Here is a 25,244-nt window from a genome sequence, read left to right as displayed (position 1 = left end):
TTATATATCTGTGAGTTTTCCAGTTTTCCCTCTGTTATTCTCTTCTAGTTTTATTTCATGTGATCCAAAAAGATACTTTATATGATTTCAATTTTTTTACATTTACTAAGACTTGTTTTGTGACTAAAATATCCTTGAGAATTTCCATGCACATTTGAGAAAAATGCACATTCTGCTGTTGTTGGACAGAGTGTTCTGTATATGTCTGTTAGGTCTAATTGGTTTAGAGTATTGTTCTAGTCCTCTCTTTCCTTATTGATCTTCTGTCTAGTTGTTTAATCCATTATTCAAAGTAGTGGCCGGGCACGGTGGCTCACACCTGTAATCCCAGCACTTTGGGAGGCCGAGGAGGGTGGATCACAATGTCAGGAGGTTGAGACCAGCCTGGCCAACATGGTGAAACTCCGTCTCTACTGAAAATACAAAAAATTTGCTGGACATGGTGGCACACGCCTGTAATCCCAGCTACTCAGGAGGCCAAGGCAGGAGAATCACTTGAACCCAGGAGGCAGAAGTTGCAGTGAGCTGAGATCGCACCATTGCACTGCAGCCTGGGCAACAGAGCAAGACTCTGTCTCGAGAAACAACAAAAACAAAAACAAAAAACAAAGTAGTGTACTAAAGTCTCCAACTACTATTGTAGAACTCTATTTCTCCCTTCAATGTTGCAAAATTTTGTTTCATGTATTTTGGTGTTCTGTTCTTTATAATTTTTATATCTTCTTAATGGATGAAAACTTTTATCAACATATAATGTTCTTTGTCTCTTGAGACTTTTTTTTTTAACTTAAAATCTATTTGGGCTGATAATACAGCCACCACAACTCTCATATTGGTTGTTATTTTCATAGAATATCTTCTTCCATCCTTCTACTTTAAAATTCTTCTATCTTTATATCTAAAGTGAGCCTCTTGTAGATAGCATATAGGTGGATAATGTTCTCTTTATTCACTCTGCCAATATCTGCCTTTTAACTGGAGTTTAATCTATTTATATATAAAATAATTACTGATTAGGAAGGACTTACTTCTACCACTCAGCTATTTTTTTTCTGTGTGTCTTATACATTTTTAAGTTTCTCAATTCCTCCATTACTGGATTTTTTTTTTTACTTCTTGATTTTGTGTCTGTGTTGTTACATTTTGATTATTTTCTCCTTTTGATAGCGGCAGGAGGCAGCCAAATGCCTGGCAGATAGAAGCTTGTCCCCCATGAAACCCCACCTTCAAGCCAAAAAATAGCCTGAAGGCTGAAAGACCGGACTGCTGGTCCCAGATGAAACCCATGATCCAGAGTGAGAACTTCCATTCCTGTTTGCCTGCCCTCTAAATAATCCCTTTTAACCAATCGAATGTTGCCTTTTCCAATACTACCTATGGCCTGCCCCTCCCCCATTCTGAGCCCATAAAAGCCCTGGAATCAGCCACATTGGGGGCACTTTGCCAACTTCAGGTAGGGGGACCACCTCTGTATCCCTTCTCTGCTGAAAGCTGTTTTCATCACTCAATGAAACTCTCACCTTGCTCCCTCTTTGATTGTCAGCGTATCCTCATTTTTCTTGGGTGTGGTACAAGAACTCGGGAACCAGTGCACAAGCCAGACTTGGTCTGGGCAGCACGGGTTAGTGGGCCATCTCCCACAGCAGGTAGCATGGCCAAGTGAGGCCTGGGCAGGGCATCACCAAGGTCCCTGGCTTGCAAAGTGACCAAGGAAAAAATCCTGTGTCACTTTCCTTTTCTCATATTTTTTAGTTATTTTCCTAATGATTGCCTTGAGGATGGCAATTAACATCTTACACTTATAAGAAGCTAGTTTGAATAATAGTTCCAATAGTACATGAACACTCTACTCCTATATATCTCCATCCTTCTTCCTTTATATTGTTATTCCCACAAATTATGTTTTTATACATTATATCCTCACTAACATAAACTTATTATTATTTTCTGCATTTGCCTTTTAAATCATACAGGAAAACAAGAATCACAAAGAAAAACTACATTAATATTTGCTGTTATATTTACCTATATAGTGACATTTAACAGTGTATTTTTATGTCTTCAGATGTCTTTGAATTACTACTTAGTGTCTTTTCATTTTAGCCTCAATGTTTCCCTTTAGCATTTCCTATAGGGCAGGCCTGCCGGTAATTAATTCCCTTTGGTTTTCTTTATCTGAAATGTCTAATTTCTTTTTTATTCTTGAAGAATAGTTTTGCTGGCTATAAGATTCTTAGTTAATAGTTTTTTTCCCAGCACTTCAATTATTATTAAAGTGTTATTATTATTATTATTATTATTTTGAGATGGAGTCTCCCTCTGTCACTCAGGCTGGAGTGCAGTGGCGCAATCTCTGCTCACTGCAACCTCCGCCTCCCAGGTTCAAGCAATTCTCCTGCCTCAGCCTCCCGAGTTAGCTGGGATTACAGGTGCCCGCCACCATGCCCAGCTAATTTTTGTATTTTTAGTAGAGACGGGGTTTCACCATGTTGGTCAGGCTGATCTTGAACTCCTGACCTCAAGTGATACACCCACCTTGGCCTCCCAAAGTGCTGGGATTAGAGGCATGAGCCACCATGCCTGGTCTAAAGTGTAATTATTATTACAGCTGCCATTTGGCCTCCTTGGTTTCTAATGAGAAATCATCTGTTAAACTTATTGCAAATCCTTGGTATGTATGCTATGTGTCATTTCTCTCTTGCTGCTTCCAAGATTCTCTCTCTGTCTTTGTCTTTTGACAATTTGACTATAATGTGTTTCAGTGTGAATTTCTTAGAGTTTATCCCACTTGGATTTCATTGAGCTTCTTGGATGTGTACGTTTGTCTTTCACCAAATCTGGGAAATTATTTCACCATTTCTCAAATATCTTTTTCTTCCCCTTTCCATCTCTCTTCTTCTGGAGCTCCCGTATACTTAGTTGGCATGACTGATGGTATCCTACTGGTCCCTCAGGTTCTGTTCATTTTTCTTCTTTCTTTTTTTCTGCTCTGCAGACTGGATAACTTCAATCGCCTTTTCTTCAAGTTCAATGATTATTTCTTCTGCCTGCTCAAATTGGCCATTTAACCCCTCCAGTGACTTTTTCATTTCAGTATTGTACTTTTCAGATCCAGAATTTCTATTTGGTTCCTCTTTAATAAATTCTTTTTATTGTCATTCCCCATCTGTTCATACATTGCTCTCCCAATTTCCTGTAGTTCTTTGTCCATGGTTTTCTTTAGTTAATTAAGCATATTTAAGACAGTTGACTTAATGTCTTTGACTAGTAATTCCAATGTCTAAAATTCCTTATGGATAGCTTCTTTTAAATTATTTTTGTCCTGTTAGAGAGTCATATCTTCCTCTTTATTTGCTTTGTAATACTTTGTTGAAAACTTAACATTTTGAGTAGTAAAATGTGGTAATTCTGAAGCCAGATTCTCCCCCTCCTTTGAGATTGGTTTTGTTGTTTGTTGAGGGCTGCAGTTGTCCATTTGTATAGTGACTTTTCCAAACGATTTTTGCAAAGTATGTATTCTCTCTTGTGTCTGGTCACTGACGTTTCTGTTCTGGTGCCTCTGCAGTCAGCCTATGACCTGGAAGAGCATTCCTTAAATGCATAGATTTTTTTAAAACCCAAGAAACAAAAAACCTAGCATGTATGTACCTTTTTAAAAATCTTCTGATAGATGCCACCTGGAAGGCTGCTGCTGCCTGAAGGGGCAGAAACAAAGGCAAGCTCTACTCTGAGCCCTCAGGGAACCACCAGATAAACAAAAGAAATTTGATTCTCCAAATTTCTGGAAGACAAGGTCCTTTCTGCCCACTCCTGCTCCAGCCAGCTGCTCTAGGAACACAATTACTGTCCACATGGCCACAGGAATGTTGAAGAATGCAGGATGGTAGCTGGTTTGCCCACACCACTCACTTATGAGCCATCAGCATGCCTCTCCCTTCATCGAGCACTCCCATGGTTGCTGTAAGTGTCCAATCAGGTTCCAGAATTCTGAAAGAGTTGACTCTTACAGGATTTTTTTCTTTTCTAACTTGCTGGTTGTTTAGATAGAGGAACCAATTCCTGAAGTTTCCTACGTTGCCAGCTTCATGAGGATCATTCCCTAGTAACTCTTTTCAGACAAAAAGCTTCATTGATTTACTGTAGGACTAGCATCAAAGAGTCTATGCCACCTAGTCTGTCTCCTTAAAACACAGAAATAATCAGTATGCATTGGGGTAGGAGTTTGGCATTAGATCTGCCGTAAATCAAGAGCTGGGGACAGCCCATGTCTTAAACTCTGACCCAAGGGCTAAAATATCCTTTGGTAGCAACAACAGCTACAAACTATTGAACAACTTGTATGTGCCAAGAGCCTTACCTGCATTATCCCATTGAATCCTCTCAACAGCCCTGTGAGGTAGTAGAATTGTTGCCTGCCCCTTACTGAGGCCTAGAAACATTAAGGAATTTGCCCGAGGCCCTAGAGCCAGTGAGTGGCAAAGCCAGTCTCCAGACTCAGGCTGGAGATCCTACAGTTCTGTGTTACCCCAGTGTTATCCTGCCTCTCAGCACAGAGTCTTGGATGATTCTCCTAACCCCTCCCTAGGCAATGCACAGGGCTGCTCCCTGCACCCTTACTCATGCTCTGCTCTTCAACCCCAACAGTGCTGGCCTTAGGCTTTATCCCTGACACCCAGCCCCAGGCTCCATTCCATCTGTTGACAGAGGCAAACACTGGGGCAAAACTGACCTCTGTGGATACCACTGTGTCCACCTCCACCAGCTTCAGCTGAAGCCTCTGAACATCTCCAGCATGGAAGAAGCCCCAAAGGATATTTCCTGTCCCCCAGCATATGCTTGACCCTGAAGCCCTCCCCATCTAGTCAAGAAGACCAAACTGTTAACAATCCTGGAGTCAGAGTGACCCATGGGTGAATCTTAGCCAAGTCACTCATAGCTGTTGCATCCTAGTAAATCCCTTAACTCCCATAGGCTTCAGTTTCCCTGCATATAAAATGACAGCCTTCAGCTCATCGGCCAGTTTCAATCCATCTAAAGGGTCTAGCACATCCCCTGGCATGTGGAAGCCACAGGGCACACACTAGTTGTGGTCATTTGATCCTGGCATGCTCTGCTGTCTCTCGGCTCTCCCCTTGCCTCTTTCCCTGATGTCCTGGCCATCAGCCACTGCCTAACACCCTCCCACTCACCAGGCCCTTAGCCTGCCCCTTAGCACAAGAGCACAGCCGGTCTCAAGTCTACCCTGCTGTAAGCAAACACTTGCAACATCATGCTGACCTCCAGGCCCTGTTGCATCAGCGTGCCCACACTTGGTGCCCAGCTGGTACTGAGGGTATCAGGGAACAGGCCAGTGGTGGAAGGGCGGACACTTTGGGTTCCCTGGTTTCCTGGCTCCCAATATCTTTCCCAATGGCATATGGGGTCTAGCAGCTTGGCTCATTTAACTGTGAACCTCTACCCTTTAGAATCTGGGCCTCCAGGCTTGCTTCTGTGCAAAATGGCAGATAAGGCTCAACCTTTCTTTTTTTAACTTCATTGTTAAATATTACTCCATTAATACCCATTTACTGCAGAAAAGGTAGGAAATACAGATAAGCAAAAAGGAAAATAAATTAAAATCCTCATACCACCATCATCAAGATAATTACTGTCACCATTTTGGTATATTTCCTCCCAATACATATATTATCTATATCGTATATACGACAAAAATGGATCATACTATGTTTCCTGTTCTTCCCCTGTGTTAGTCATCTATTGCTGTATAACAAACTGCCTCAAAACTTAGTGGCTTCACCTTTCCGTGTATTATGATGACAAGAATGTGGTATGACACTGTCTTATATCTGGATCATATGCTAAAAGATAGAAAATGGTTTCTAAACTTATTTGTTCTGTAATAACAAAATTTTATTTCATAAAGTGTTTTTAAAAAAAACCATAGTAGCTTGAAACAACAAACCTTTGTTATCTCACACAGTTTCTGTAGGTCAAGAATTCAGAAGCAGCTTAGCTGGGTGGTCTGGCTTGGTGTCTCTCCTGAGGTCAGGGTTTTGGCTGGGGCTGCATCACCTGAAGGCTTGACTGGGGCCAGAGGAGCTGCTTCCAAAGTGGTCCACTCACATGGCTGGCAAGTTGGAGTTGCGTATTGGCAAGAGACTTCGCTTCTTCTCAATGGATCTTCCCAGAGTTCTTGTAGGCAACCTCATAGCATAGCAGTTGGCTTCCCCCAGAGGGAACAGTCCAGGAGAGAACAAGGCAGAAACCACAGGGTCTTTTCTGGCTTAGGCTCCAAAGTCATACTCCACCATTTCTGCATTATCATATTAGTTACACAGGCTAGACCTATTCTGCATGGAAGAGACTATACCATGGGGTGAATACCAGAAGCAGGGCTAATTGAAGGCCAGCTTCAAGGGCGGCTACACATTCCCTTTCAACAGTATGTCATGAACATCTTTCCATGCCAATAGAGCAGATGAATCTTACCATTTTTAATGACTACATGTAAGTGTAGCATAATTTATTTAACCAACCTCCTGTAGTTGGGTATGTGGGTTGTGTCTCGTTTTTTGATAGTAGAATTAATCATCTTGAATATCCATCACCAAACTTGTCATATTATTTTCTTTTGATGAATGAAAAAGAAAATCAAGTCATGTCTGTCAATCAGAACCCTGAGCAACTAAGAAATGGGGGTACCACTGGGACATAGAGCAAGGTCCCTTCTGATTCTGCTCTTGTCTTTCTCTCCCCATGAAATGGGGAGTTCACTATCTACTGAGACATCCTAGCCCACAGCTGCACAGTTCTGTCTTTTTAGAAAGCTCTAAGCAGAAACAATGTTCATCCATCCTCCTCGGGACAGCCCTTGAGCTACTGAAGACTCTAAGCATGTCCTGGTCATCCTCCATGAGCCATCATCTCTGAGGCCCTCCCCTTCTTGGCCCCTCTTCTCTGGACAGGTTCTGGACAGTCTTGCCCTTCCAAAATTCCTGGAAAGCAGGAACTGTTCCTGCTACAATGACTCTCAACTCCAGTGCAGTACAGACTGTTGGTGTCACCCCTTATCCTGAAGAAGAGGCACTGAGACAGGACAAGGGTGGGTGCCCAGGAGGGCTGGCATGAGTCATGAGAATCTGGTCCCGGAGAATTAGACGGTGTGGGGAAGTAGGGGTGTTGGGCCGCTTTCTGGCCTCATGGATGCCAATGAATATCAGCAGGTGGCTCCCAGAAAGGAACTCTAGGGGATGCCTGTTGCTCTAAATAGAGGCTAGAGAGGGCACTGGCAGTTCAGTCAACCAAGAAAGGGGGCCCACTTGCCTCAGCTTCAGGCTTTGTACACATCCTCAGCCTTTCTTGAGAACTGAATTTAGATTCTCCTCCCCTGTGCTGTGTGCTTGGCCCAGAAGAAGGGCAAGTCTCGCTGGGTGGCTGCTTCTTGGCCTGGCTGAACCAGAAGGCCCCAGTGCCACTCCAAACCTGGGTGTGAGCCCTGCCCCCATGAGCAAACAGTAGCTCAGAGCTGGGGGCTGTGGGGGTCAGTGGCCTGTCACATGAGATCTGATGAGGCCATCTCTGCTCTATATTGGGAAAGGGATCAATTGTATCAAGGGCTTTCTTGGGAGTGATCACTCTGGCCATTGGCGAGAGACCTGGCATTCTGACAAGGCACCCTCCATACCCTGACCCACTTGCCAGCTCCAGCTAATTTTAGCAGGCTTTGGCAGGTGCCAGCAAGTACATAGCATGTGGATGTCACTCCCAGGTGAGCCCAAGGAGAGGCCTGGGCCAGAGCCTGGAAGTCATGGTCTATGCCCATGGAGGCACCCAAAGCAAGCCTGAGGCCTGGACTTTGCAGTCACAAAATTAAGAATGATACCCCTGTTTTTTGTTTGTTTTTGATCAGTTGGCCACCTTCCTCCACCACCCCTTCCCCAAGTTCCATACAGACCCCTGGATTGTATGAAATGCAAATCGAACCTCTCTGCAGATGAAAATCCACTGGGGATCCCCTTGCCTCCAAGAGCAAGTCCAGACCTGCACCAGCGCGGGCCAGGCCCCCTTAGGACCCCCTCCCTGTCCAAGGGCATTTCAGTAAGTGTTCTGTGGCCAAGGCAGCCTGGTGACTTTCTGCCCGCACAAGGCTGAGGAATGGAAGATGGGTAGGCTGGCTCTGCACACCCCCTCCTGCTGGGCAGCAATCCCTACCCCATGTTCACAGAGTGTGGCCGGCTGCCCCATGGCTCTGTCCCCGTGGCCCTGTCAACTGTTACCCACATGGCCTACCCTCCCTTTCTGCCCTGCCTCTGACCCCATGGCAGGGGGCAGAGTATTTGAGCAGCCGCCAGGCTGAGCCCTTTCAGTGCAGAAGCCCTGGGCTGCCAGCCTCAGGCAGCTCTCCATCCAAGCAGCCGTTGCTGCCACAGGCGGGCCTTACGCTCCAAGGCTACAGCATGTGCTAGGCCTCAGCAGGCAGGAGCATCTCTGCCTCCCAAAGCATCTACCTCTTAGCCCCTCGGAGAGATGGCGATGGATGTCACAAGGAGCCAGGCCCAGACAGCCTTGACTCTGGTAAGGGTCACACCAAAGTTAGGGACTTTGCACTGGGAGAGCAGCACCCAGGGCAGGGCCCTTGGTTTTGCAGATTACCAAAACTAAGGCTGGGGGCAGGGAAGGCGAGCAGGCTTGGGGCACCTTGGAAGGAGGCACATGGGCCTTGGGGGTCCTGGCTAGGGCAGCTGTGCCTGCCACTGGCCCTCTGCCCACCACCCCTCCTCACTGTGGCTATCCAGTGTCCAGCCTCTCGAGGGGTTCTAGGGTACTTATTCCTGGAGCTAACGGTGACCCAGGACACCAGTGTCCGGGGCCTGGCCTGGGGCTTTTATGGGGGGAGCTGGCTGGCTGCCCAGGGCTGTCTGGCTCTCTGGGGGCTCTGCATGGCATTTCCAGGGGTTGGTGGATCAGGGATTCTGTCCCTCAGGAGAATGTGGGCACTAGCCCAAGGCCACTCACTTCTGTGTACATAGCCACCTGAGGGCCCAGGAATGGAGGGGGCCAGGCTACAGCTGGACATCTGGCACTCGGATGGGCTCTGGAGCCCCCAGGCCTGCAGCATCTGCCCAGGGACTGCCCTGGCCCTTGGCCATTTCCTCAGGGACCCACAGCTCCACCAGCCGGCCCCTCCCAGTGCTGGAATAGACAGTTCCTCAGTCCACATCTGCCAAAGGCGGCACTAGAAGGCATCCTGCCTTTTTTACTGCGTTCTGGAGGTGGGGTCACAAAGCACTGCTCACTGCATAAAAGGGACAGCATCCTGCCCCTGGCAGCCCTGCCTGACCAGCTCCGCCTCTCCCACTGCTATCCAACCTGTACACCCTGGTGACCATGTCCAGGCCAGTGGCCTTAAGGACTGTCTCTGTACTGATGGCTCCACATCTACCTCTCCAGCCAGACTCTCCTCTGAACTCGGGCCTCACATGGCCAACTGCTACTTGGAACAAATCGCCCCTTGGCTGGCAGATGTGTTAACATGCCCAGACCAAGATCCCAACTCCCACAACCCAACTCCCAGGTCAGATGGAACCTCTTCTTCCCAGGCCCTTCTGTTCCTCTCCTCAGCCCCTCCCACCTCCCTTCAGAATAAGTCTAGACTCTTATCGCTTTCACCAAGCCTGCGCCCAGCATCCCTGCACAGGGATTGTTAGGACAGCCTGACGCCCTGCTTCCACCCTGCCCCAAGATGCCCCTGCTCTGCAGCCCGGCGCCTCCAGGCTTCTCACCTCCTGCTGCTCACAGCTCAGCCTCACTCCCTCCCTCCCCGCCTCTGCTCCAGCCTCAGTGCAGGTCCCCTGCTCCCATCTTCTGGCAGCAGCTGCCCGACCTGGTCCCTCTTCATCTGTCCCCATTCCTTCACCCCCCAGCCTGTCCCCAACTTGACTGAGGTTCTTTCCTGCAGATCCCCGCCCTTGAGAGGGGTTGGTCCCACTGTCAACTCTGCTTCTGTGCCCTGTGCCGCACCTGGCATTCAGTGAGCATCTGCTGAAGAGATGAGGGTCAGATGCCCTGCAGGGAGTGTGGGGGCGTCCTCAGGCAAGAAAAGTTGTACGTTTGGCTGTGGGCCCTGATTATGTGTCCTGTGACCTCTTGGGTGAGGTCAGCAAGAGAAACCTCTGCAAGCTGGCTGGGGCTGCCTCCCAGAGGCTGCCAGGGGGAGGGACAGGCTCTGTCTGTGCTCTTCTTCCGAGGCTACACCTGGGGCGCCAGGCTCTCAGGGCTCCCCAGGTACCACCACATTTCCTACACTGCTTGGGAAAGCCCTGTAAGTTTGCACAGACACCCAGCATGAGGCTCGCCAGAGAGATACTTGTAGCTGGGGTCTGGGCACCAGGAACAGCTTGGTGCTGGGCCTGAAGTCGGGCAGGATGCAGCCTGGCCAGGTGAGAGGAAAGCTTGGAGCCAGTGCCTGGGTTCAAACTCCTCTGTGGCCTATGGTTCTGTGGGCTTGGGGAAGGGTTTGTACCTCTGTGTCCAGTTTCCTCACTTATAAAAAAAGGAGATAATAAAAGTACCCATGTCCCAGGGTGGCTGTAGCAATAATAGGGAGGGGTGCCCAGAGCAGGTCTGGCACACAGGAAGTGTGCATCAGCCTCAGTCCCTGCCATTGGGCTTGTCCTGGGAGTCTGTGAAGCCAACCTCTGCTCCACAATGTGACCCCCAGGCTTGTGAGACCAAGCTGGGTCAGAGCTTCCTCCTCTGGGGTTGCACCAGGAGGGGAACTTCTGCAGGCCCAGATGCACCCTGAGGAAAGGGCTTGTTCCCACCAAGAACAAGGCTCACCTTTGGAGGATGCTCCCCACATGAGAGGTGAACCCCCAGGTCTACTGGTGACTGCAGCCTCGGAAGCTGACAGCATCTATCCTCCAACCCATGCCCACTGGGAAGTGTGTGAGGGGTCCTCATAGGCCCTGCGGTGTGGACAATGCAGAGACCCTGTAGCATCTGGCTAGGGCGGGGCCCAGATAAGAGCCCTGTGCCAGGAGAGCCTGGCCGGTTCTGCCACTGTGGGGAGACAGGCTCCCCCACCCCATGTCCCCTGCTTCCCTGCAGCCCACAGAGAATACAGACCTACTTTTACAGAAATCCAGATTTTTGTGTAAAAGTGTCTCTATTTTAAGTAGATTTTAAGTGGTGGCAGCAAATTTAAGCTTTTGAGAATATTATACAGAACAAATCAGATTCACAGGCCAGATGCAACTTTATTTACAGAAATGGGATCAGGTCCTACCTCAGGTCCCATCTCACGTTTTCACTTATGCCTATACGTCTCCTTCACGGGAAAGGCCACAAGAGGCCCTGCGGTAAGTGTCCCGGTGTTGATTTAAAGTCCCCAACAGTGAATATGAGGGTCCTCACTGTTGCAGCAAGAGGATACCCCCCTGTGTATCTTGGAAATGCCTGCAGCCCTCTTGCTGCAGAACAGATTCTTAGGAGAGAAACTGTCAGATCAAAGTTAAACTTAGAGAAACTCCAAATTGCCCTCTGAACAGACGGTATCAGTTTGACATCATCCAATACCGGGATTCCTCGGGGAGAACTTTCTGGCCTAGAAGGCAGTAGAGCCAGGACTTCACCCAGTCAGTGGCAGGGCCACACGTGGGCCTTGATACAGAGGGGGAAGACTTGAGCCTCCTCGACACCCTACAGGGCCCAGCCTCCCAACATGTGATAAGAGAAACAACAGCCAACTTGTACCTAGCTCTCCTTATTCTCCAAGGGCTGGGCCAGTTCTCCCCACAGCCCTGCAAGGGAGGATCACTCAAGGGCCCCAACTGTCTGACAATACAGCCACACTCTGATCAGCCACCTGGGCATAGGCTCCATGCCATTGTCCTCCGCCAAGACCTCAGACTGAAATGTTGGCTCCTCCCATGAAGAACCTGGGGCCAAAGGACCAGAGTCCAGGTCCGTGGCTGCCAGGATGGGCCACTTGGAGAGAGGCACAAGGGTGGTGCCAGGCAGGTGTGAGGGCTGGACCTTTGCAAGAGCAGCATCACTTTTGTTGAGAGCCCACAGGTATCTTATAATTGGGTCCTAGGACTTCCTGCCAGTAGCCATTGTGTGCATGGATTTGGGTGCTGGCCTCACCATGGTGTGCTGGCTGCCCATGCCTGCAATAATGACTTCTGTAAGCCTTTCTTCATCTGCAAGATGGGTGCTGCTGGCACCTCCTCCCCGGTGCTGTGGTGACAGGGCATAGTGTGTGAGGCTGCTATGTGAAGCACCTAATGCAGGGCCTGGCATATGGAGGAATTCAGCAAATGACAGATGCCTTCACAGTTAGTTCCTGGCATCCTCTACATTGGTGGGTGTAGGAAAGAAAGACAGAGGAGGCAAAAGTTGTAGCTGTGGGGCATTGAGGACAGCCTGGATTGTTCCACAGAGCCCTGAGGACATCTCCAGGGGTGTGCTCTGCAGGGGCAGCTGGATTGGAGGGTTAGGGGTCGGGGAGGGCGTGCACTCCCACCCATGCTCACAGCCTCGGAACAGTGCCTGCTCAGCCAACATGGGTGTTTGATTCTGTGTCTTTTGTCACAGACTTTATCAGCCCCATCCCTTTCTGACCTTGCCTCAGTTTAAATTTTACATGTGGGGCCTCATTAAGAGACATGGTTCTTAACTAAAGATCTGTATCCATTAGGAATGCTTTGGGCTGCAGGAAGACAAACACCTGACTCACTGTGGCATAAGTGGTTTGCGTCTGCTCCCATAAGCTGCACGTGGAGGGTGGATCTGGCATTACTCTCTCTTCCCTACATTTGCAGTATGCTAACAGCTTTAACCTCCAGCCTTGTTTCTTCATGGTTGCAGGGTGGCTATCACAGCGCTGGCCATCACATCCTTACACAGCTGTGTTTACAAATTTAGGGGGACATTGAAGCTCCTCCCCTGCTAAAATCAGGCTTCCCTTCACCTGTCATTGGCCAGAACTGGGTGAAATGCCCAACTCTAGACCGATCATCAGTAAGAGGAGTATAGAATTGCTGTGCCCACCTTAGATTAATCATGGCGCAATGTGCTCCCCATACCAACAAAATCTGAGTTCTAGAAACTGAGGAAGAAGAGGAAAATGGCCGTCTTGCCTCCTGGCTGGGATTCAGAGCATCTCCAACCCTCTGAGCTTATGTGTAAGACTGTGGGCAAAAGTGTGTGAGTTTTTGTGGAATGGATCCACGGCTTTTATCAGAGCATCTTTCCTTTTTCTTTTTGATTCAAGATGAAAATATTCTTATGATTATTTTTCTCACCACTGCCCAGAGATAACCAGCACATTAACATGGCCTTTTCTCCATGAATAGCACTAGGGTGCCCAGTGGACAGACACATAGCTGTCCACACACCAGCTTGCTGGGGATGCATAGGCAGAGTCACATCTGCACTCACGGCCTGTCCTCACACTGCCATGTGGAGAGCCAGCAGCCACACCATGGGCCGTCCATGCTCACGGGAGTGGCAGTATCAGATCTGAGCTTCGTGTGCCCAGGCGTCTCTCACATCAGTGCATAGGGACCCTCTTTGTTCTGTGGCCCAGTGTGCCCATGCCACAGATGGCTTCAGTCAGCAGACACCTCCTTCTAGACACTCACACTCACTCCTGGCTGGCCCTTAGCACACCTGTGCAGACAGGCCCATTTATTTTCTTGTGTAAATCCCAAGTAGGAGGACTGGGTCTCTCTGACAGCAATGCCAGCTGCCTGGCACCCTCCAGACAGGTGGCTCAAGCCCCACCTCGCCAGCTCTCCCAGTTAGCCCCTCCTTTCCCTGGCTCTGACCTGAGGGACGAAGCAGGGTGCTACAGGACGCTGTGCCACAGGGATATCGTCAGGGACAGAAGCTACTCTGCCCTCTGCTGCTCACCCCTCCAACACGCTGTGGGCTGCATTTGTTGAGTGGCTGGTACCAGACTCTGCTCTTCTGACTTTCCAGCTGGTTTTACCTGTAGTAAAGTTTGAGAAGATGGGTCATCCTGACCCCGGGGTCAGAAGACAGAAGGAGGCCCATGGCGTGTGGGGGAGATGCCCCGTGAGGCCCTCGGTGTGCAGATGCCTGGTGACAGCCCCACCCTGAGGTCCCCAGCCTACCCCCTCCCCAGCCCGACTGCTCCCATCCCCCTCCCTGTGCAGGTAGAGCAGATCCTGGCAGAGTTCCAGCTGCAGGAGGAGGACCTGAAGAAGGTGATGAGACGGATGCAGAAGGAGATGGACCGCGGCCTGAGGCTGGAGACCCATGAAGAGGCCAGTGTGAAGATGCTGCCCACCTACGTGCGCTCCACCCCAGAAGGCTCAGGTACCACATGGTAACCGGCTCCTCATCCAGAAGCAGCTGTGGGCTCAGCCCTAGCTGGGAGAAGCACCCCAGGCACTCCCAGACTCACAGCCAGCCCGAGACAGAATCTCCTGGGGAGCAATGAAGTCCTCGACTTGGGCCAGTTCTCACCCTTGGCTCCTCTGGTCCGGCCCTGGGGCACTCGGGCTCACCCTGGAGCTGGCAAACCTCAGGAAAACTGGCGTTTTAAATCTCACTCCTGGCCAGGTGCAGTGGCTCACCCCTGTAACTTCAACACTTTGGGAGGCCAAAGCAGGCGGATCTCTTGAGGCCAGGAGTTTGAGACCAGCCTGCCCAACATGGTGAAACCCCGTCTCTACTAAAAATACAAAAATTATCCAGGCATGGTGGCACATTCCTGTAGTTCCAGCTACTCGGGAGGCTGAGGCATAAGAATTGCTTGAACCCGGGAGGCCGAGGTTGCAGTGAGCCAAAATCGCGCCACTGCACTCCAGCCTGGGGTGACAGGGTGAGACACCATCTCAAAAAAAAAAAAAAAAAAAGACCTCACTGCTCCCCATGGGCACTTAGGGAACTCTCCCAGCCCAGTTCTGCAGCTGGGCCATTGCACTAGATCCTCAGTTGGTCCCTGGGCTCTCGGTGACTGTCCAGGGCAGGAGTTTCCCATTGACTTTTCCCTGGTTGACCTTTGACCCCTTCCACAGTTGACACTGGTGTCCCCAGGTGTCTGGTGGCCCCTTGTCCAGCTCCCTTAGTCCCTTGTGCCTTCCCTCCTCCTCTTTGTAATATCCGGGCTCAGTCACCTGGGGCCCACCCAGCCCAAGGCCAGCCTGTGGGTGTCCCTGAGGCTGACACACTTCTCTCTGTGCCTTTAGAAGTCGGGGACTTCCTCTCCCTGGACCTGGGTGGCACTAACTTCAGGGTGATGCTGGTGAAGGTGGGAGAAGGTGAGGAGGGGCAGTGGAGCGTGAAGACCAAACACCAGATGTACTCCATCCCCGAGGACGCCATGACCGGCACTGCTGAGATGGTGAGCAGCGCAGGGGCCGGGGCAGGGGGCCAAGGCCATGCAGGATCTCAGGGCCCAGCTAGTCCTGACGGGAGGTGCCACCTGTCTACCAGGGGTGGGGAGAGCGGGGGCTGGAGGACCACCCAGCCTCAGAGGCAGCTGGAGGCCTGGGTGAACAGGACTGGCCAACATGTCCCCAAGTCCCACAGTCACCATCTGGCCAGCATTGAGAGGGGAACGGGCTGAGGAAGAGTTAGTGGCAAGAGGAACCCCAGCCAGTCACACCTTGTCCAGTTTACCAGAGGAAAAACCAATGTGTAAGAACAGAAATGTGACCCGGCAGCCAGTGCACTGCCCCCCTCTCCAAAGGCCACCCCTCACCCTCCACCAGCATGCACAGAAAGTGGGGTGACAGCAATCACAATGTCTACCCAGGCAGCAAGGACCCCTGACCATGGGGAGGACTGGGGTGCAGGGAACATAGAAGCAGAATGAGGCCTAGGGGGAGTTGGGCAAGGCCAGAGCCCTAGCTGCAGCCAAGCACATGGCCAAGGCCAGCTCCTGGAAGGGCAGGGCTCCGAGGCAGGAGGCAGGAGGCTGCCCGTGGCTACCCGTCCTCACACCCCTGCAGCTTGCTAGTCTGTCTGTGGGCTGGGTGTGAATCAAGGCAGTGGGATGGTGTGGGGACCTCCCTGGCCCCAGCAGCCAGTGAGGAGCCTGGTCAGTCAGCAGAGCATTCAGCAGTATCCAGTTCCATGGAGAGGCCCGTGTGAGGGGAGTCGGGGCTGGTCTTCAGTAAGGATGGGTGGCCAGGGCCCCTAGAAGTAGAAAAGGAGACTCCGGGTGCTGGAGACAGAAATCAAGGATGTGCCTCCATGTGGAGCCTCAGGAATAGCTGGCCAGGCCTGAGGCTGAACCTCACAAGGTTCAGCTGGGAGGGCTAGGCTGACAGAGCACAGCCGGGCCAGGGACCAGCCTGCCCTGTGTTGCCTTGTCCCGAGGGCCACTGTCAGCAGGTCTCTGGCATGGGGGAGGCTTAGGGCCTGAGCCCAACAAGCAGCAGCGGAAGAGGAGAGGGAAACTGTGGACAGGCCTGGCATTCAGTGGCCAGGTGTTGCAGTGTCCCTGAGGAATAGCTTGGCTTGAGGCCGTGGGGAGGGCTGCCGGCCAGCGCACCCCCCCATGCCAGATGGTCACCATGGCGTGCATCTTCCAGCTCTTCGACTACATCTCTGAGTGCATCTCCGACTTCCTGGACAAGCATCAGATGAAACACAAGAAGCTGCCCCTGGGCTTCACCTTCTCCTTTCCTGTGAGGCACGAAGACATCGATAAGGTGGGCCGGGTGGAGGGGCAGAAGGCAGATGAGGGGAGGCACAGGCACCCCAGAGGAACTCTGCCTTCAAATGTAGCCCCCATACCATGTGCTCAGAAGGGAGATCTGGATTCAAATTGTGGCCATGTCACCTGCCACCTCTAATGCTGTGGAAAAGAAGCATCACATTAGCTAATTCTGGCTGTGCGCCTTGTGAGGCACCAGCTATGATCACCCCACTCCAGTGGAAAGAGCAGCTGGCAGTAGGGTGGGGCTCAAACTCAGGCAGCCGGGCTCTGGGTCACCTGCAGGCCACGGTCATGTCACACTGCCTCTAGCTGAGTCAGAAATGTGAAGGAACTGAGATTCTACCCTTCCTGCAAGCTAGCAAAGTGGCCTGCCAGTTACATCTGTGCATGCACACACACACACAGTTATATATGCACACACATAAAACACGAGACCTTTGGGTCAGGGAGAAAGCCAGATCCTCACTCACGGCAGAAGCAGCAGCCAAAGCAACATCTCATGTGGTTTTCCAAGCCCCAGTCCCTACAGAGACAGAGAGGGCCAGGTGGCACCTGTGCATGCAGCGGGGTACCTTGCAGGAGGGAAATCCTGATTTTACACAAAGCTGCTCCCCCCACGCCCTGCCTTGACTCTGGGATGACGTCTCAGAGCTGTGCAGTACAACATTCTTAAATTGGCTGGGACTCAGCCCTGCAGAAATATGATATCTTCAAGGAGAATCGTTCCCAAAACCTCTCAAAGCTATGGGGCTGCTCTGAGCCTGTTTCCTCAGCTGTAAAGTAGGGTGCATACTTTTATGGCCCTGTGCAGGAGGTAGTGACAGGCCCTAGCACCCTGCCTCCAGTATATGTTAGCAGCCACGAGGCCTATCTCTCCCCACAGGGCATCCTTCTCAACTGGACCAAGGGCTTCAAGGCCTCAGGAGCAGAAGGGAACAATGTCGTGGGGCTTCTGCGAGACGCTATCAAACGGAGAGGGGTGAGGGGGCACCTGTACCTGCCGGGGGGGCTGCCCTGGGCCACCCACCCCAGCACTGCCTGCCTTTCTCCTTGGCTTCCAGCACTGCAGCTTCTGTGCTTCTTGGCAGGACTTTGAAATGGATGTGGTGGCAATGGTGAATGACACGGTGGCCACGATGATCTCCTGCTACTACGAAGACCATCAGTGCGAGGTCGGCATGATCGTGGGTAAGGGCTCCTTGCACCCCTGCCCCTTCCAGACTGCTGAGGCTCCCTGTGTACAACAGGCTTCAAGGGCCCTGTGGGGTGAGGACCAAACTACTTAACAACCGGTGATGTCAGAGCAGAGCCTGGTGCTACAGCCTGGGTGGTCTTGGGGTATCAAGATGGAAGCACCGTGTACAGTAGGAAGCATTTCAACGCCATGATGCCACATTCCTGCATCAGATGGTATGCCAGCTGCATATCCACCTCACCCATCAGGATTATAATTAAAACACTTATCTGGTAAATTGACCAACTGGACAGATTGGTCCAAGTGGAAGAGGATAAGCAAAAGTGGTACCATCTCCACCCGAATGGTCTTTCCACGGGCCTGCCCCTGCCCCTGCCCCCACCCAAAGTGAAGGCAGGTACCAGGAAAGGGAGCAGCAGTCCGCCCCTCCCAGCAGAGGGGTCTTCCACACCAACTCGGACCTTTCTCAGAAGTTCCGGAGGTCATTATAACCAGCCTTCACTGAGGAGCAATCCAATCAGATCAGTTATCTGCTGTGCGCACAGCCGTGTGGTTCTATACTTCTCTTACTTCCATTTTCACCTTTCAGAAGGAACGTTGTCTTTAAATCCAGCATCTAAACGTGAGCCCCAGCCATCCCTGGCTGTGATCCCCCCAGCCCTTTCCACCCTATCCTCTGGAACTGCCTGGGGCTCCCCAAGACACTTCCACATGAATTCCCACCAAGCCAAGCTGCAGCTGCTGGGCCCAGGCATAACCCCTCCTGGGGCAGAGGTGGCAAGGAGTGACCCACCACTCACATCTGCCCCACATCCACTCTTGACTCTGCTCAGTGTTTAAAAACATGTTTATAACAATTACCAAGATCTGAAAATTAGGAGAATTCACATCAAAGTCTGGATTTCTGTTTGTTCATAAAAAACTAGAAGGCAGCCAGGCAAGGTGGCTCACGCCAGTAATCCCAACACTTTGGGAGGCTAAGGCAGGCGGGTCACTTGAGGTCAGGATTTGAAGACTAGCTGGCCAACAAGGTGTAACCTCGTCTCTACTAAAAATACAAAAATTAGCTGGGTGTGATGGCGCATGCCTGTAATCCCAGGTACTCAGGAGACTGAGGCAGGAGAATTGCTTAAACCCTGGAGGCAGAGGTTGCAGTGAGCCAAGATCACGCCACTGCACTCCAGCCTGGGTGATGGAGTGAGTGAGACTCTGTCTCCAAATAAATAAATAAATAAATAAAAACTGGAAGTCTAAGCATCACTGAGCCCTGATTCCTATGTGGCAGCTCGACTGACCAGCATTTGAGTTGCTGTCCCTGACAGCTTTGGGGGTGTGCAGCCCACACAGTCATGCTAGCTTGAGGCTCTGCTGTCAGCAGTTTGAAACTCTTAATAACTTGTGAACAAAAGACTCCATGTTGTCACTCTGCACAGGGGCCAGCAAATTACAAAATTCCATATCCGGAATTGTCTACAGGAGCCTCTGGGCTGCTCCCAAGGGCCCACACCATGCCTTACTCACTTTGGGTTGCCATCCAAACATGTCTCATGACAAAGAAGCTCAAACATGTGCATGGACAGTGCCAGAAAACAAGGGTCGTACATAGACAAAATAAAATGATAACGTCCCACAACCATTTCTTTGATACACACTGTTTCTCTCAGTCCTCCCAACCACCTAGGTAACAGGCAGGGAAGGTGTTACTGTTGCCTGTTAGGAAAGAGGACAGCCCTGAAAGCTGTCCCTGGCCACTGAAGCAACCCAGGTCTTCCAGCCCCAGGGAGAGCCGCCTTTCCATTGTTCCAGACAAAGCAGAGACAGGCATGGGGGAGCGGGAGAGGGACTCCTGTGGGCAGGAACCAGGCCCTACTCCGGGGCAGTGCAGCTCTCGCTGACAGTCCCCCCGACCTCCACCCCAGGCACGGGCTGCAATGCCTGCTACATGGAGGAGATGCAGAATGTGGAGCTGGTGGAGGGGGACGAGGGCCGCATGTGCGTCAATACCGAGTGGGGCGCCTTCGGGGACTCCGGCGAGCTGGACGAGTTCCTGCTGGAGTATGACCGCCTGGTGGACGAGAGCTCTGCAAACCCCGGTCAGCAGCTGTAAGGATGCCCCCCTCCCCCACAACCCAGGCCCTGGGCCGCTCTGGTGCAGCGGCAGATGGGAGCCGGGCCATTGCAGATAATGGGCTTGTTTTTAAACAACTCTGGGGAAAAGCAAACTGACAATCCGTTCGTAAGCTCCATCCCTTCTGCTCAGTCATGACCTGCCCCTGTGAGAGATGAAGGGTTAGTCCCAGTTGTGATGTGATAAGCCCAGACCTCTTTCCTTCCGACAGGTGATCGTGCATGCAGAGGAGGCTCTGAGACGCCCCCAGCAAGGTTCCTGGGTTTAACCCAACATTCCCCAAAGTATGTATTTGGCCACATTCACAGAAAGAATATTAGTCTTTTGTGGAATGCTGCGGGTTGACAGTCACAGCTTGGAAACCAACCCACAGAGAGCTCATCATTAATCATGGCTATCACTTGTTTACCACCTACTGTGCCAGGCCTATGCTAATTACTTTATTAGCGTCCTCTCTGCCGCTCGCAGGCCTCTATTATTATAGGTCAGTAGTATTCGATTTATTTAAATTAAATACGGAAGGTCATAGATTAAGCAAGAAAGTGCCAGCAACATGGTGCGTGCCTCTGACTGGGCACTAACCCTCCAAGTCTTAGTTTTCCCAACCATAACTGGCCAATGAACAGCAGCTCTGGATGCAGCTAAAGGAAGACTGAAGCTGTAGGTCCCGTGCTCGGCGCAGGGCCCCCTGCAAGGAAGGTTTCGGAGGGACTGGATGGGGTCTTTGAACTATCTGTCTTTCCCTTTACTGCAGTGGGCCCAGGGGCAGGCCAAAGTTGCTCCCGTGATTGACTTGAACGTGCACGTTCCTAATCCCTGACATTTCTAAAGCTCTGGCTCATTAACGAGGGAAAGACGTGAACCAGCTGGGGGAGTGGGGATCGCAGTGCCCCACGTGGCCGCCTCGTGACCTCAGTGGGGAGCAGTGGGGCCGGCTCCCGGCTTCCACCTGCATGAGGGGCCCTCCCTCGTGCCTGCTGATGTAATGGACCTGCCCTATGTCCAGGTATGAGAAGCTCATAGGTGGCAAGTACATGGGCGAGCTGGTGCGGCTTGTGCTGCTCAGGCTCGTGGACGAAAACCTGCTCTTCCACGGGGAGGCCTCCGAGCAGCTGCGCACACGCGGAGCCTTCGAGACGCGCTTCGTGTCGCAGGTGGAGAGGTGTGCGGAGGAGGAGGGTGGGTGCAAAGGGCAGGGGCTGGGGACGCCCGGGCACTGCAGACTTGGTCTCAGGGCGACGCTGAGTCCCAGGCCCGGGGCGCAGGGATGGGAAACTAGGGCCTGGGGCGGGATTCCGGGCGTGGGCGGGGCCCGGGGCGGGGCACAGGGGGCGGGGGAGTGGGCGGGGCCCGAGGCCGGGCGCTGGAGGCGAGGGCGGGGCAGGGACGGGTCCAAGGGCAGGAGGCTGGGACAGGACGGGGATGCAAAGGGAGGGGCGGGGCCCGAGACGGGGAGGAGGGGGAGGGCCCAAGGGGAGGAGGCGGGGTCCGGACGGGGATGCCAAGAGCAGGGATGGGAGCGAGCCTGCGTCCGGGCACTGGTCCCCATCCGTGAGTCCCCTCGGTGCTCCCTGCCCGCCGTGGCCATCCTCTCACATCACTCACAACCCCAAGGCGCGGCATGGTTGACACCCCCACGTTAGGACGGAGACCCTGGGCTTAGTTAGAGGGGGCAGTACTAACCAGTCCCTGGCGGAAACGCTTTGGCTGGGTGAGGTGAGCGGGATCGCCCCCATTTCTCCAGAGAGGGGTCCCGGCTCAGCGAGGGAAAGAGGCCGCCGCTGGGGGGACGGCTGGCCGGGGCCCCTCCCTGGAGAACGAGAGGCCGCCGCTGGAGGGGGATGGACTGTCGGAGCGACACTCAGCGACCGCCCTACCTCCTCCCGCCCCGCAGCGACACGGGCGACCGCAAGCAGATCTACAACATCCTGAGCACGCTGGGGCTGCGACCCTCGACCACCGACTGCGACATCGTGCGCCGCGCCTGCGAGAGCGTGTCTACGCGCGCTGCGCACATGTGCTCGGCGGGGCTGGCGGGCGTCATCAACCGCATGCGCGAGAGCCGCAGCGAGGACGTAATGCGCATCACTGTGGGCGTGGATGGCTCCGTGTACAAGCTGCACCCCAGGTGAGCCCGCCCCGCTCTCTCCCTGGTAAAGTGGGGCCCAAAAAGCGCGCGCTCCAAGGTTCCTTGCGGTTCCCAAGCTCCAAGATTTCGTAGTCCTCTTCTCGTCCCCCTTGGCCTAGATTTGGGGGAAGGGTCGACTGCGTGCAGGGCGCCCGGTAATGAATGTGGAGGATGAGGTGGGAGGAGGGACGGCAGCCCTGCTTCTCTTCTGCCCAGCTTCAAGGAGCGGTTCCATGCCAGCGTGCGCAGGCTGACGCCCAGCTGCGAGATCACCTTCATCGAGTCGGAGGAGGGCAGTGGCCGGGGCGCGGCCCTGGTCTCGGCGGTGGCCTGTAAGAAGGCCTGTATGCTGGGCCAGTGAGAGCAGTGGCCGCAAGCGCAGGGAGGATGCCACAGCCCCACAGCACCCAGGCTCCATGGGGAAGTGCTCCCCACACGTGCTCGCAGCCTGGCGGGGCAGGAGGCCTGGCCTTGTCAGGACCCAGGCCGCCTGCCATACCGCTGGGGAACAGAGCGGGCCTCTTCCCTCAGTTTTTCGGTGGGACAGCCCCAGGGCCCTAACGGGGGTGCGGCAGGAGCAGGAACAGAGACTCTGGAAGCCCCCCACCTTTCTCGCTGGAATCAATTTCCCAGAAGGGAGTTGCTCACTCAGGACTTTGATGCATTTCCACACTGTCAGAGCTGTTGGCCTCGCCTGGGCCCAGGCTCTGGGAAGGGGTGCCCTCTGGATCCTGCTGTGGCCTCACTTCCCTGGGAACTCATCCTGTGTGGGGAGGCAGCTCCAACAGCTTGACCAGACCTAGACCTGGGCCAAAAGGGCAGCCAGGGGCTGCTCATCACCCAGTCCTGGCCATTTTCTTGCCTGAGGCTCAAGAGGCCCAGGGAGCAATGGGAGGGGGCTCCATGGAGGAGGTGTCCCAAGCTTTGAATACCCCCAGAGACCTTTTCTCTCCCATACCATCACTGAGTGGCTTGTGATTCTGGGATGGACCCTCGCAGCAGGTGCAAGAGACAGAGCCCCCAAGCCTCTGCCCCAAGGGGCCCACAAAGGGGAGAAGGGCCAGCCCTACATCTTCAGCTCCCATAGCGCTGGCTCAGGAAGAAACCCCAAGCAGCATTCAGCACACCCCAAGGGACAACCCCATCATATGACATGCCACCCTCTCCATGCCCAACCTAAGATTGTGTGGGTTTTTTAATTAAAAATGTTAAAAGTTTTAAACATGGCCTGTCCACTGTTCTTTGACTTCTGTGCATTAGGACTGTGGGGACAATCTATAAAGAGTCTGCGTCACATGCATGAAGACACTTCAGTATCTCGGCAATGCCCTCCAGACAGCTCCTCCAGCCATCTGTGCCAAGGGGAGTGTGAGGAGTGACAGACCAGGCTGTAGGAACAGGAATGGGGTGTCATGGGGGATGGCAGAGCAGTGGACAGTACACTGCCTGGCCCGGGCCCCTGCTTGCCTGCCCATGGAATGTGTGCAGAGGGAGTGCCAGGCCAGGTGCTGCTCTGGAGAAGTGGGGGAATGAGGCTGGTCCTGCTGCAGGTCAGTCTCAGCACCGTCCTGTCCAGTCAGAGTCACTTAGGTTTGCCAGTGAGTAGGGGCCCAGATACATGTTGGATTTCTAAGGTCCCTCCAGATGCTCCTGTCAGTGGAACGCCTATTTAGAGTTAGCCAAGCGTAGGCATAATGCCATCTTTCTGCAGCATAAAATACAGTGACATAGAAACATATTTGTGTGATTTTCATGCATTCCTTTTTTGATGAGAGATATTACCCAGCTAATTAGGAACAACTGTTTTGTTTCCTTCAGATCATAACCCAAAGTTGTGATTTTGAAAAGTCATGTCCCCCTTCAGATTTCTTGTTTTCTGCTACTTCTCATGTGGAATTGCTTTGGCTCTTCTTAGTTCTCTTGAGTCTAAATTATTCCTTATAAGTTGGTGCAAGCATCTGATTATTTTGTTATCATTACTGTTATGCTCAAGCATTCACAGAGTGGAACACATTTTAATATCAATTGCTTTCTATTTCTCCTTTATATTACAGTTCAGGACATTGTATTAATTATTAAAATTCTATTCGTAGGTAGGTTATATGACTGAATTGAAATAGATAAAATGAATTTCTTTTCTAGATAACAAAGGAGGTGTCATAAAACACTTGTTATGGGCCAGTGTGATGGCTCATGCCTATAATCTCAGTGCTTTGAGAGGCTGAGGTGGAGGATTGCTTGAGGCCAGGAATTTGAGACCAGCCTGGGGCAACATAGCAAGACCCCATCTCTTAAAAAAAAAAGGGTGGGGCGGGGGGGCACTGCTGGGCGCGGTGGCTCATGCCTGTAATCCCAGCACTTTGGGAAGCCAAAGCAGGTGGATCAAAAGGTCAGGAGTTCGAGATCAGCCTGGCCAACATGGTGAAACCCCAACTCTACTAAAAATACAAAAATTAGCCGGGCATGATGGCGGGTGCTTATAATCCCAGCTACTCAGGAGGCTGAGGCAGAAGAATTGCTTGAACCCAGGAGGCGGAGGTTGCAGTGAGCAGAGATTGCACCACTGCACTCCAGCCTGGGCAACAGAGCGAAACTCTGTCTCAAAAATGAATTAATTAATTAAAAAAAGAAAAAAAAAACACTGGGCAGGGTGGTGTGCACCTGTAGTCCCAACTACTCCAGAGGCTGAGGCAGGAAGGAGCACTTGAGCCCAGGAGGTTGTCTGCAGTGAGCTCTACTCATGCCACTGCACTCCAGCCTGGGTGACAGAGCTCAGTGGCTTACACCTGTAATCCTAGCACTTTGGGAGGCTGAAGCAGGCAGATCACCTAAGATCAGGAGTTCGAGACCGGCTGGCCAACATGATAAAACCCCGTCTTTACTAAAAATAAAATAAAATAAAAAATATATATAAAAATTAGCTGGGTGTGGTGGCACATGCCTATAATCCCAGCTGCTTGGGAGGCTGAGGAACAAGAATGGCTTGAACCCGGGAGGCAGAGGTGGCAGTGAGCTGAGATCGCGCCACTGCACTCCAGCCTGTGCGAGAGTGAGACTCTGTCTCAAAAAAAAAAAAGGGAATTTAAGAAATTTA

General features: G+C 52.1%; 1 protein-coding gene and 1 long non-coding RNA gene across 9 annotated transcripts in view; one reads left to right on the top strand and one right to left on the bottom strand.

The window, feature by feature from the left end:
* GCK (glucokinase) overlaps positions 1-24,434 on the top strand; it is a 46,227-nt gene extending 21,793 nt beyond the window's left edge. Inside the window, exons 1-11 of one of the 8 annotated variants that reach the window (NM_033508.3) lie at positions 8,365-8,574; positions 9,451-9,574; positions 14,184-14,346; positions 15,222-15,376; positions 16,572-16,691; positions 17,583-17,678; positions 17,788-17,887; positions 19,814-19,997; positions 21,029-21,184; positions 21,917-22,150; positions 22,367-23,372. In NM_033508.3, coding sequence (NP_277043.1) covers positions 9,533-9,574; positions 14,184-14,346; positions 15,222-15,376; positions 16,572-16,691; positions 17,583-17,678; positions 17,788-17,887; positions 19,814-19,997; positions 21,029-21,184; positions 21,917-22,150; positions 22,367-22,511 — 1,395 coding nt within the window. In that variant the 5' untranslated portion in view covers positions 8,365-8,574; positions 9,451-9,532 and the 3' untranslated portion in view covers positions 22,512-23,372. Of the gene's footprint in view, positions 1-8,364; positions 8,575-9,450; positions 9,575-14,183; positions 14,347-15,221; positions 15,377-16,571; positions 16,692-17,582; positions 17,679-17,787; positions 17,888-19,813; positions 19,998-21,013; positions 21,185-21,502; positions 21,739-21,916; positions 22,151-22,366; positions 23,377-23,410 lie in introns of those variants that run through there. The other 7 variants (NM_001354800.1, NM_033507.3, NM_000162.5 and 4 more) reach the window with 7 other exon arrangements.
* LOC105375258 (uncharacterized) lies at positions 17,711-19,996 on the bottom strand. The gene is made up of 3 exons (XR_927223.3): positions 19,899-19,996; positions 18,356-18,476; positions 17,711-17,958 (listed from the first exon to the last, which is right to left on the bottom strand). It is a non-coding gene; the product is annotated as an uncharacterized LOC105375258 (long non-coding RNA).

Source organism: Homo sapiens, chromosome 7, assembly GCF_000001405.40.
Source record: "Homo sapiens chromosome 7, GRCh38.p14 Primary Assembly".
NCBI lineage: Eukaryota > Metazoa > Chordata > Mammalia > Primates > Hominidae > Homo > Homo sapiens.
Note: the sequence above shows the minus strand (reverse complement) of the source record. Positions and strands in the feature narration are given on the sequence as shown.